This window comes from Homo sapiens, chromosome 2 (genome assembly GCF_000001405.40).
Source record: "Homo sapiens chromosome 2, GRCh38.p14 Primary Assembly".
NCBI classification, from domain to species: domain Eukaryota; kingdom Metazoa; phylum Chordata; class Mammalia; order Primates; family Hominidae; genus Homo; species Homo sapiens.
In genome coordinates this window covers 221,569,956-221,582,230 of record NC_000002.12, presented here as the reverse complement: position 1 = coordinate 221,582,230, position 12,275 = coordinate 221,569,956, and the positions used below count along the sequence as shown (strand labels likewise).

General features: G+C 46.3%; 1 protein-coding gene across 4 annotated transcripts in view, besides 4 other annotated features; it reads left to right on the top strand.

Moving 5' to 3' along the window:
• Positions 5,246-5,758: an enhancer, noted in NCBI's record as "NANOG hESC enhancer chr2:222441193-222441705 (GRCh37/hg19 assembly coordinates)". NCBI's record gives its function as "activates a minimal SCP1, AML or CMV promoter by ChIP-STARR-seq in naive H9 embryonic stem cells {active_cell/tissue: H9 hESC(naive)}" and the evidence as "EXISTENCE:reporter gene assay evidence [ECO:0000049][PMID:30033119]".
• Positions 8,029-12,275, top strand: part of EPHA4 (EPH receptor A4) — a 156,176-nt gene continuing 151,929 nt past the window's right edge. For 3 of the 4 annotated variants that reach the window (NM_001304537.2, NM_004438.5, NM_001363748.2), the window contains exon 1: positions 9,927-10,073. In NM_001304537.2, coding sequence (NP_001291466.1) covers positions 10,068-10,073 — 6 coding nt within the window. In that variant the 5' untranslated portion in view covers positions 9,927-10,067. Of the gene's footprint in view, positions 8,271-9,926; positions 10,074-12,275 lie in introns of those variants that run through there. The other variant, NM_001304536.2, reaches the window with a different exon arrangement.
• Positions 8,462-8,621: a silencer, noted in NCBI's record as "silent region_12366". NCBI's record gives its function as "represses an Ori minimal core promoter by ATAC-STARR-seq in GM12878 lymphoblastoid cells {active_cell/tissue: GM12878}" and the evidence as "EXISTENCE:reporter gene assay evidence [ECO:0000049][PMID:35858748]".
• Positions 8,672-8,951: a silencer, noted in NCBI's record as "silent region_12365". NCBI's record gives its function as "represses an Ori minimal core promoter by ATAC-STARR-seq in GM12878 lymphoblastoid cells {active_cell/tissue: GM12878}" and the evidence as "EXISTENCE:reporter gene assay evidence [ECO:0000049][PMID:35858748]".
• Positions 9,552-9,971: a silencer, noted in NCBI's record as "silent region_12364". NCBI's record gives its function as "represses an Ori minimal core promoter by ATAC-STARR-seq in GM12878 lymphoblastoid cells {active_cell/tissue: GM12878}" and the evidence as "EXISTENCE:reporter gene assay evidence [ECO:0000049][PMID:35858748]".

The following is a 12,275-nucleotide window of genomic DNA, read 5'->3' as shown; positions in this document are numbered from 1 at the left end:
GCCAAGCATCTGTGTTAACATCTCAAATAAGCTCCAGGGTTATAAAGTTATTTGCTCAGGTTTATTGGTTATACTCTTGCCCCTGAATAACTACTGCTGCTTGCCTTTTGCCTTGCTAGATGAGAAACTCAATTGTTGTAAGAGACAGACGGCAAAACAGACAATTTATATAGGTAGATAAACCATAATATTCAAATTTATATCATTCACAGTTTTTACTTTCATACCTTCTTATCTCCAATAAAAGAAACCCAGAAATAGAAACACAAGAAAAGTAAAACTTGAGTATGGCTAATGTAAAAAGTTCATTTTAGTATATTATTATCTTATAACGTATTACATATTTCAGGTGACATGTGCCTTAATTGAGACAGAAGCAAATATATTTTATTTCTAATGACAAGGTGAAAATAATCTCTTTATTTTTAGAGAATATCAGGTTGCTGGTAGTTTTAGTGAAAAAACTTGGAACATTTTGTATAAAGATCCTGTAACTTTAGCTGATCAGGAATATGAAGTCAAATTTAAGAGACTCTATAATCAGAATGCAGATGGCACCAACTAAAAACAAAGTAATAAAAATAAGGCCTATGCCTCAATTCAGGCTCTTTTTCTAGAGATCAAAACCTAATTTGTATTAATGACCTATCTGACTTTTCAGGGAAGTAATGCACTGTTACAAATAGAAAGGTCTTAAAAGTGTGGCTTCGTATTATAAGATGCAACCTCCCTTCAATATTAAGACATTAAATTATACAGGGTGAAACCTGTACAAAGTAATAAGCAGAACATTCCTCCTGCTTCTCTCCAATTAGCAAAAACAAATGTTCCCAAGTAATTTTAGGAAGAGATGTTAGTACTTACAGGTCAGCTAAGAGTCAGTCAATCCAAGAAAGGGAAATCTAGACACATCGGATCACTCACATTAGGATAGAAACTAGGGCTATTCTTGGGCTCCAACCCCTGTTAAAGTACAGCAAGGGTGCTTTATTCTTTGCCTCAACAAGTCTTGGAATGGTTGACTTCCAGGATGATTTTACATTACACTGGTGCTAGGCTGCAGATGTGGGGGTTTGGTATATGTGTTTGCATTTTTGTGTGTGTTTGAGAAAGCAGTTTCTGAAGGAGCTATACACCAAAAACCTCCCACTAATAGTCTCCCACCCCCAGCGTTTGAAGAATCCCTTGTGTTTCTGCCACCCCTCGCTTTTTCCATCTAAATGTGGTGCTGGGCCTCAGGAGGTCTTGGCACACAAAGATTCTATCCAAGGCTGTCACTTGACTGACAGCAAAAAGGTTGCAGGAAAATGGACAGTGGTGTGTAGGTGGACATGGAAAAAGCAAAGAACTGAGCAGATTAAGTCAGAATACAGCAAGAGGAAGGTTCTAAATCACAGATTATTCCAGACTTAGAGCTAGCCCACAGTGATTGTTAACCATGTGAGGTACTTATGTATAAGAGCTTTAAAGCCAGCTAATCTTATTCTTAATCTAAATCAGGTTTTTAAAACAAGTACCCTAGTTTATAAATAGATGGCTATCTATTACACATACATACACATATTGTAAAGTGCCAAAAGAAGTGTATTGCTAAAGAAAGCTAGAGGTGGGAAGACCCAAAGCACCCTGAAGATCCTCACTACTTTTGCAATTCATTATGATTTCTACCTGTGCAATGATTTCTGCATTGCAAATTTAGTTCACTCAGTATCTTAACCAGGGTGATCCGTAAATAATACGGACACAACTAGGCATTTATCAGAGTATTTTAAATTGCAACAATCCGAATGAAAACTATACAAGTTTCAGATGAGAACATAATGAGACACGAAGGAAATGGGGCCAGCTTTCCTGAGCTGCAGCAAACTGACCATTTAATGGAACAGAGTTGATTAATTTTCTGCCAATGTTCAATCACCTCTGATGGGTGTCTAATGTAATATAAATAGGCAAGTTGAAGTTGCAGCTGTGGGACCTTACTCTTAAAGTATGTTGGAATCGCTCTCATAATCACCTGGGTATGTTTTGGTTCCAATTTATTTTAAATCAGAGCTGTAGGAGAGAAAGGGGATAGAGATGAAAAGGGTGGTTCTATACATGTTAATCCTGAATGTCAAAGAGAAGCATTAAATTTCAGGAGATAAATCCTGTAATAGTTATCATGTACAAAGAAAGACTTATACTAACCTGGGACAACATAACCTCCAATTCAGCCAGAGATGGCTAAGGGTGTTCTCTCTTAAAAAGCTACTTTTAAACTGGACGCAGTGGCTCACGCCTGTAATCCCAGCACTTTGGGAGGCCGAGGAAGGCAGATCACCTGAAGTCAGGAGTTTGGGACCAGCCTGGCCAACATGGTGAAACCCTGTCTTTACTAAAAATACAAAAATTAGCTGGGCATAGTGGCAGGTGCCTGTAATCCCAGCTACTCGGGAGGCTGTGGCAGGTGCCTGTAATCCCAGCTACTCGGGAGGCTGTGGCAGGTGCCTGTAATCCCAGCTACTCGGAAGGTTGAGGCAGGAAAATTGCTTGAACCTGGGAGGCGCAGGTTGCAGTGAGCTGAGATCGCATCAGTGCACTCCAGCCTGAGGAACAAGAGCGATACTTCATCTCAAAAAAAAAAAAAAAAAAAGCTACTTTTATATAGAGCCACAGATTTAAATAATCAATGGTGTAGAAATATCATCCTCTATATTTTAATGCCTTATTTTTAACTCCTTCTTCTGCAAAAGAAAAACCTGGGGTGCGTATACATACGGAGTTGAATATGAAGAAAAACAAATGGTTGAATTGAGATACCTTAAATGTCAGTTTGAGTCAAATGATCCGTTACTAACTGAATTTCTTTTTACCTTCTTACTTCAAATAACACATTGTTTGCCTGAATTAAGCCCATTTATTTGTGCAGAGATAGCCAAGGTCGAAGAGAAAGTGATTCCACATATCACTTTACATTGTTAAGTTGTATGACATATCTTTGTCTATAGACTCCTGAGTTAACACTTATTTTAGATAAATTCTTCATTGTTTTTAAATGTAATATGTCCAGAAAGTCCCCCAAAAATGTCAGTTTTAACCAAACCATATTTATAAATGTCACTTTGGTATTTCTGTATCTAGAGAGTTTTTGTCCAACTGATTTTAATAAGGTTTCACTAATTTACTGTGGAGCCAAATACTATGTAATTTCGGGAAAAGCCTATACTATGTTTCTTGGAGTTTTCACTGAGTTCCCTCTTTAGTCCATTTGAATAAATGGTCAAAGGCATAATCTTTAGCAGGGAAAAGGCTTTTTCTTATTTACTAACTGGTACAAATGGTTAGATTAAAGAAATAAGATATAAATATGATTTCAAAAGTAACATTTTCTTTATAAGTACACTTATTCCGTTATCTAAGCAAGCATCTAAAGGATTTGTACTGTACATAAAGAAATGCATTATCTGTCATTTTAGACATCTTTAGAATGTTCAGAGATCTTCTGAAATTACAAAATATTTGTTTGGAACATAAGTGCTTTGTAAATGCTTTAGATTATGATGGGGAAAGGAAAAGTTAGGTTTCCAAACTTACGTTGTCATTATGTAGTAAATCATAAATTATGTTCATAACCATATTATTTTCTTTCTTACAACATTGTATCGTAATTACACATTGTTTTTCAGAATACTATTGCAATACCTCTATAAATTGGAGATCTGATCGGACAATTATTTCTCCCTTAAGAGTGGCTAAAATGGCTGGTGGCTTATGCCTGTAATCCCAACACTTTGGGAGACCGAGGCAGGAGGATCACTTGGGACCAGGAGTTGAAGAGTAGCCTGGGCAACACAGTAAGACCATACCTTTACAAAAAAATTTTAAAAATTAGCTGGGCATGGTGGCATGTGCTTGTAGTCCCAGTTACTCAGGAGCCTGAGATGGGAGGAGTGCTTGAGCCCCGGAGGTAGAGGTTGTAGTGAGCCAAGATCCCACCACTGCAATCCAGTCAGCCTGGGTGACACAGTGAGATTCTGTCTCAAAAAAAAAAAAAAAAAAAAAAAGTGGCTAAAAAAATTGTGCCAGCTTAATTTTATTCACACGTATATCACACATGTATCACATATATTATTCATTTTTCATCATAAGACAACTATAATTCCAAAACTCTTCTGATAACCACAAAGTAACATGGCTGTTAAATATTAAAAGTGTTTAATAGCTAAAATATTTAATATCTGGGGCTTGCAGCTTTGTGTTGGCATTTTGAGTTAGAATGAGTGAACCTCAGTTCAGAGGTGTTATATTGAAAGGTTTCAAGTAAAAAGCATTTTACACTTCTTTTGGGGAATGGCTTTCATGCCTAAAACATAAAATTGTTCTGATGTTTTACTTTAACTCATTTTCTCAATGCAGCCAAAAAGAGATGCAAATTATCTCCTCTAATTTCTCCTCCAGAAGGACACATTGTCTCTGCAAAATGTTCCTGAGAGGGATCTAGAGTTATTACAGAACTGAACTGAGCATCTTGGCACATGCCTTCTCTGTCTCTCCTCCTCCTTCTTGGGCCCCTGGTGGTGGAAAGGTCCCTGATGGTTTCTGGCCCCCACAACCCTGTGCGGTGGATATCACATATGGTCATGACTAGGAAGAAATCTCTTTATTTATTGTTTTTTTTTGAGACGGAGTCTCACTCTGTCGCTAGGTTGGAGGGCGGTGGCTCGATCTTGGCTCACTGCAATCTCCGCCTCCCGAGTTCAAGCGATTCTCCTGCCTCAGCCTCCCAAGTAGCTGGGATTACAGGCGCCCGCCACCTTGCCCAGCTAATTTTTGTATTTTTAGTAGAGACGGGGTCTCACCATGTTGGCCAGGATGGTCTTGATCTCCTGACCTCTTCCTCATGTGGGATTTGGTACATTGTAGACACTGAAGAAATGTTTGTTAGAACCGAGTAAAATTCACGGACGGCATCAAATGAAGTTTTAGAAAAGCCTTGCTCCCTTGAGAACTGCAACCTTCCTGTCTGCCCCTCCTCACCTCAGTGATGCAAAAGAGATTATTATTCTAAGTGAAGTAACTCAGGAATGGAACACCAAACATCCTAAGTTCTCACTGATATGTGGGAACTAAGCTATGAGGATGCAAAGGCATAAGAATAATACAGTGGACTTTGGGGACTTGGGGGGAAGATGGGAGGGGGCAAAGGATAAAAGACAACAAATACGGTGCAATGTATACTGCTCGGGTGATGGGGGCACCACGATCTCACAAATCTCCACTGAAGAACTTACTCATGTAGCTAAATACCACCTATACCCCAACAACTTATTAAAAAAATGAAACAAACAAACAAAAAAAGGCCTCTTGCTTTGTCTTGCTCTCTCATCCTCTTGATGCATGAAGACCTGAGCTCTGCAGCCATTTTTTTTCCCACTCAGGTGTAAAGGGCTCATAAGTGTCCTGCTTCTTATTTGCATAACAAACAGCATCAAAGCCTTGACATCAAAGGATGAACTCTGCAGTTAGGTTTCCTGGGGGCTTCCGGAAGCCCACCAATTGTTGTGTCAAATTTGTATATTTAAGATGCAGTAGCTTGTGGTAGAAGCGTTTTCTAACAACGGTGGGAATTTCATTAGGTAGAGCTTTGGTTATTCATTACCACTTGGTTGTGGGACTCTGGATTCCTCACACCTTCTTTCACGTATTTTTTACACTATTCTATTTGAAGACAAGCATAGCCTCTAGGTCCAAATCCAGTGGAATTACCTAGGAATATAAAAGTTGGATGTCAGCTGTCATAAATCAACAATAAAAGAAGAGAAGAATTTAGAATTTATTTCCCTTCCCTACTCTAGGAGTTAATAAAATAAAGCATCTTATTTTCTCATGGAGCACGAAAGGTAAATCACAGTGCTTGGTTTCCTTCTGGAAGGAACAATTCAAGCTGAACAAATGATTTCTCATTTCAAAATGTGAATGCTTATTAATTAAATATTATTTTACAGAAACAATAGCCAGGCATGGTGGCTCATGACTATAATCCCAGCATTTTAGGAGGATGAGGCAGGAGGATTGCTTGAGCCCAGGATTTTGAGACCAGCCTGGGCAACATGGTGAAACCCCATCTTTACTAAAAATACAAAAAATTAGCCAGGTGTGGTGGCACACATCTGTAGTTCTAGGTATCCAGGAGGCTGAGGTGAGAGTATCACGTGAGCCTGGGGAGGGTGAGGCTGTGGTGAGCCATGATCACACCACTGCAATCCAGCCTGGGTGACCTGAGTGAGACCCTGTCTCATAAAATAAAAATAAAAATAAAAATGAGTAATAACAGCTGGCTAACACACGCCAGGTACTATACCAGAAGCTCTATAACATTCATTCAGTATTTAGAAGAACCATATAATGTTAACTATCTACAATTTGTAGATGAGAAAACCATATCTCAGAGAGGTCAAGGAACTTAAAGACACACAGCTAGAAAAAGCCCAGCTAAAGTATCAAATTGGGGTTGTCTGAATTGAAAGTTCTGGTTCTCTAAAAGAGAACTCAGGGAGTCATTGGAGCACTATGGGCAGGTTCCATTTTTTTCACAAAAAATCCACCAGGATGCCTAGAAAAAGCAGAGTGGATTCATCTTCTTATTCTCTCTGTCTCTCCAGTCTTTCATACACCCTCCTTATCATTATTTGTCTACGGGTCAAAGGCTCCTTTCTCTTTACTTTGGTGAAATTGGCCCTCCACATACAGGTGGAAACCCCGGGATGCTTGGTGCTATTTACAAACGTCTTTTACGGATTAAAAACACCTTTGGAATTCAATCTTAATTCAATTCAGCATTTACAAGGTACTTCGTAGCTCAAACGTTTGTGGTAGGCACTGTATAAAAAAAAGTATATCATTGTTTTCAGATTATTCAATTACTATTTTCATTAAGTGTGTAAGCAGATATGTTTTGACATGTTTCTTAGTGTATTCAAAATAACCCCAAATTTTTACTGTAGTAAGACTTGTCTTACTCAAGAGTAAAGCAATTTTATTTTAAAATTAGGTGATTTTAGGTACTTTTTTAAAGGTATGATATTCCATTGTATCCTTATGACTCCGTTGATGTGTTGTAAACAGTCTCCAACATTTGAAAACTCCAGGTTGTCTTCCCATAATGTGGGTGGTTTTCTGCATTGATGGTGGCCTTTGTCCACCATCATTTTTAAAATTTTGCCTTACTCTTCAAGGAATCATATCTGCTAGGTTAGAACACCTTTGTTCTAGGTAGTCACAATGGACAGAGGAATTTTCAGCAGCTCATTTCTGTTCTGCAACCCAGAAATGATTTAAAGAGGAAGTTATAGTTCAGTTTTTCCAAGTTAGCATTTCCTGCTTCTTGGTTCTCCTGATTATCGGGCTGCCTTGGGTCCTGAACTAAAACATAGGAAGAAAAAAGGGAAAGTCAGTGAATGTACTCTAGCAAATGATGCCTTGCTTTCAGGCAGCTGTGTCTGGAAAGACTTTGTTTAATATTCAATGTGCATATCCTGGGGAAAAAAATGGTACATGTTTTAGAAATTTTACTGTTTATAACAATGCAGGCAGTCAGTTTCCCGTTTCAAACACAGATAGATACATGCAACACTCAAGATCCTGCAGAGAGGCAGCCAGCATCTATTGTTTAAAAAGGTTTCAAAAAGAATTCGGATTGCTCTTTTCTCTTTTGAATCTGTGTGCCAAATGACAGGGACCAATATTCGTCTTCTTTTTCTGTAAAACTCAGAAAGACACATGAAAGAACCCAGAAATGCATTTCTTAAAGGGATTTAGTGCAGTTATTTTAAATAATTTATGCACGCACACACACATACATATATCCCCCGAGTACATATTTTTTCCCTTTTTACTTGTGTGCAATCAGTAGCTACAATGACTGAAATCCACTTCTTTGGACTGTGACATTTAAGCAAATCTTGTATCTAGAAACCGAAATGCCCAGAGTCTCGCACAAGCTGTTCGTCTGGGCCACCAACTCACACAGCCGCCGCCCAGCGCCTCGGCACGCGTGCTCATCTTGTGTAAAAGTAAAAGTTGCTCATGTCATTAGCTCGGCTCTGAGTTTGCATGAGAAACCAGCGCAGCTCTCGAGCCACGGGAGAAAACACGATCTGCTGCGGAGCCCAGTGACCTGAAACTGTAGCAGTGACTCGAGACCTGTCCTCTCCTCGACGTCGCCCTATAACCCTCCCGCTTTATTTAGGATCCGCTTTTCCGAGAGCAGCCACTCAGGCAACCCCCGGAAGGTTTGTTAGGAGTTTCTCCTTGAAACGCTTTCCGATTCCATCTTTTGAAATCCAGCAGGCGAGAGTCACGACAGACTCCAGGACCTCTTGAGCGCTGTCCGCAGCCCCACGGTAGGAGTAGCCCTAGTGCACGAGACTTGGCGGTGGCTGAAAAGCTCGCCCAAACGCACGCACCACCTCTCTGCGGGGTTGCGGATTGCGGGTTGCGGTCTTTGTCCGCTCGCCCTTCCTCCGGGGCCGCACACTCCCGCATCTGGCCGGCAGGTGGCGCGGTTGGCTCACGATGAGCTGCGGCCGGGGCTGGAGAGGCTCCTCCACCTCCCAGCGGCCGCCCGGCCGCCGGGACCCAGGCTCCCCAGGAAAACTCGGCCCTGCTCTGGAGGGAGTCAGAGGAGGGGCGGCCTGGGAAGGGGAAGGGAGGCCTCATTGCTAGGAATCAGTGCCCCTGCCAGCGCCTGGGGAAATGCACCGAGTGGCGTTGGGGACCGGTCCCTGGGACACCGGCTGCGCTGCCTTCGCCGGACCGCTCTTAGGTGGCCGCGTCCACGGCTCGGGCATCGGGAAAAGACCACAGCCCGATGGTGCCAGTGCCCCCGGGGCCGGAGCAGCCGGGCGGGGCTCTGCGGGTCCTCCTGCTCGCCGTCTTCTCCCGGGGCAGGGAGGGCTGCCCCGGCTAGGTCGGAGCGGAGAGTCGCAGCAGCCGCTCCGGGCAGCTTCCCAGTCCCGGTCTGCCTTGTCTGTGCGGCTGCAAGTCCCCGCACCCACACTTAAGCCTTTCACTTCTACCCCACCGCTCCCAGACGGGCTAGGCCCGGTTCCAGGGACTGCCCCCAACCCTGCCCCCGGGAAATCCACAACTGGTTCCCTGCCCAAGGCCATCTCGGGGCGTCCTGGGCCCTGGGCGAGGTCCACGGCGTGTGCAGGGGGACGGGGCCAGCGGGGACTTCCTTACTGCTAGAAAGTCATTCGTTCAGTCTCTGGAGACAGTGACGGAGCCCTGCTGCGGACTGGACGTTGGGGACCAAGTAGGTCCCCGCTCTCCAGGCATCTGGGGAGCCAGGGAAGAAGCGAGTGATAGAGCCACAAAACTCCCCGCAAAGAGTATTTCAGAGGGGGAAGCGCCATAAAGACAAAACAGGGCAAGGTGGCAGAGGGTGGCGGTGGCAGGCGCGAGTCTGCAGCTCAGCCCGGGCGCGCTGGACGCAGACACGTCGACTCTCCTAAAGAAGCAACCGCAGGTCAGCTTAGACTTCTTTTATTTCAATAAAAGAGCGTTTTCCTCCATCTTAAACCGCCCGTGGTGGGAGAAAAGGTTTCCAACCTCTTCTCTGGCTCCCCTCGGTCAATTCCGAGCTTTTCCAAAGTCCCTCCGCCGTCCAGGGGCTCGACCTTCGAGGTAACGTGGGGGATCCCGCTGGCTCCCTCCGGCAGGCGGGGGCGGGGACCGGCCGTGCTCGCCCCCTAGAGCCCCGGGAGACCGCGCGCCCCGTGGAGCCCGGAGGGGGCGGAACCCTGGGGCGGGCCCTGCTCGGTGAAGGCGGGGCTCGGCCGCCCTGTCTGCGCCGCCATTGGCCGCGGGCCCCGGACTGGCGGGCTCACGTCACCGGCCGGGCCCGCCCCCTTGGCAATGTCTTCAGCCCGCTGCTCTCCTAACTTAAGCATTTATTCCACTGGGATAGAAGCGGCAGGAGCAGCGTTGGCACCGGCGAACCATGGCTGGGATTTTCTATTTCGCCCTATTTTCGTGTCTCTTCGGGATTTGCGACGCTGTCACAGGTTCCAGGGTATACCCCGCGAATGAAGGTAAGAGCGGGACGGCCTTTCTGTGGTCGGGGACAGCGAGGGGCCATCGCGGGTGAGGGGTCCTCAGGAGCGCAGGGCCAGGTGGTGCGGGGGGAGCCCAGTGTGAATGGTGCGTCCCGATTCGGGAGAAGGGGGCTGAGGCGAGGGGATCGGCGAAGGGGCAGCGGGGAACCGCCGGACAGCCTGCCCCGAGGCGGTGACCCGTGCACGCGGCGGGTCTGTCCAAGTTTGTAACCAAAGGCCAAAGTTTATCAGCATCCGCCAGAGAGGCCCGCTCGAGGCGCCCTGAGGGGATGCACGGGAGACAACGCCGGGATTTAAAAAAAAAATTACAAGAACCACGTCCTCTCCTGAGCCAGCCCGGGGCGAGGGGAAAACGCAGCCTGGAGCACAGTGAAGGCTTGGTGCTCCCGGATTCTAGCGAAAGCCTTTCGAGCTCTGGTTTCTGCAAAGTTTCCCGAGCCCTGCGCTTCTCGGGACCGGGCTGCGGGGCCTGCTCCGCAGCGCAGCGGTCGTGGCGCCGCTCGTCAGGCGCCAGTGACCTGATTTCTAGCACCCGGAGTCAGACACCTTTCTCCTCGCCAAGCCCAGCGCCCCGAGGGTGCGATTGCGGGCCTGAGGGGCCCGAGCTCTTCGCCCCGCAGACTTGGGGAACCCGCCGGCAAGTTGAACGCAGTCGAGTTTTAGCTTTTCGCCCCAGAATTGCACACAGTTTAGAGCTAACGTGCGGGGTCGACGGGACCCGTCTGGGTGCTCAGTTTTCTGTGCATCCGTTCGGACGTGCTGGGAGGATTGTATGTGCCTGTGTGTCTGTGTCGGGAGGTGGGGCGGGGCGGGGGGGCGGTGATCATTTAGTTTCTGAGAAACCCAGGGAGAGGCGAACTGTGTGTGTGTGTGTGTGTATGTGTGGTGTGTGTGTGCATGTCTGCGTGTGTGTGCATGTCTGCATGTGTGGTGTGTGTGCATGTCTGCGTGTGTGTGCATGTCTGCGTGTGTGTGCCTGTGTGTGTGCGCGCGCGTGCAACTGCGTGTATGTAGGTGCGCGAATGCCTGCGTGGAAGCGGACGCGGAGGATTGTATGTCTGTGCGCAGATGTCCTGAGTGTGTGCGCGTGTGTTCGAGTGTATGCTCGTGCTCTGTTCCAGCGTATGCTGGTGCTCTGGCCTGCGTGCATCTAGTCTCACATCCGTCTCTCATTCTTCTCCTTTCCGGCATCCATCTATCTATCCGTCCGTCCATCCGTCTATCTATCCATCCATGCATCCATCCATCTCTCCGTGCATCCGTCCGTCCGTCCATGCATCCATCCATAATGCATCCATCCATATATCTGTCCGTCCGTCCGTCCATCCATCCCTCCATCCATCCACCCATTCATCTATCCATCCATCCACCCATCCATCCATCCATTCATCTTTCCATCTCTCCAGACATCCGTCCATCCATCCCTGTGTAATCTATCGTTTTCTCTGTTCCGAAGGAGGGAGCCAAAAACCAACTTAGCCTTGGCTGGGCAGCCGGTACCCGGAGCCCTCCAGACGGAGGCTCTGAGAGATTTATACACCTGCCCACAGACATCGCTTGGGAGGAAAGGGGCCCTCTCTCGCCCTCTGGATCTCCCATCTCCTTCCGACGTGGCTTCTGGTGGTTCTGGTGCCATCTCGGCCGTCGCCGCCCCTCGGTCCCTAGGGTTATTCATTCCCCTGAGAGGAATCGTGGATCCCGCGTTCTCCTGGCCACTTCACACACTTGTTAGGACGTCCCCTGAGACCTCTCTCGCCCCAGATGTAGAGACTGTTTTCTTTCTTTTTTTTAAACCCCCTCTTTTTTTGGGGGGGGGGGAGAAAAACTTGGGAGCCCAAGACAAAAAGGCTCTGAGAGCCCTAGGCTAATGTTGAAGGGGAGGGAGGGAGGTCTGTTCCCCTCCCCTCCCCCACCTCCCCCTTAAAAATTAATTCACTTTGTTGCTTTCTATTCCCATCACGTTTCCTTTTCTCTCTTTTACCCTCCCTTTCTACTCCCTCCTTTTTTTGTAAATTGGGTCTTATTGTTTCCTTTGTGTCCCTAATCCACCTTACATAAATCCAAATGGATGTAGCGGGCTTTTCTCTAGGGACAGAGAGAAGAGAATGGTTGCGGTGGGGGTTGGCGGTGGGGAGAGGAGAGGAGGGAAGGGGGCGGGAACTCCAGGCGGGAGCGACC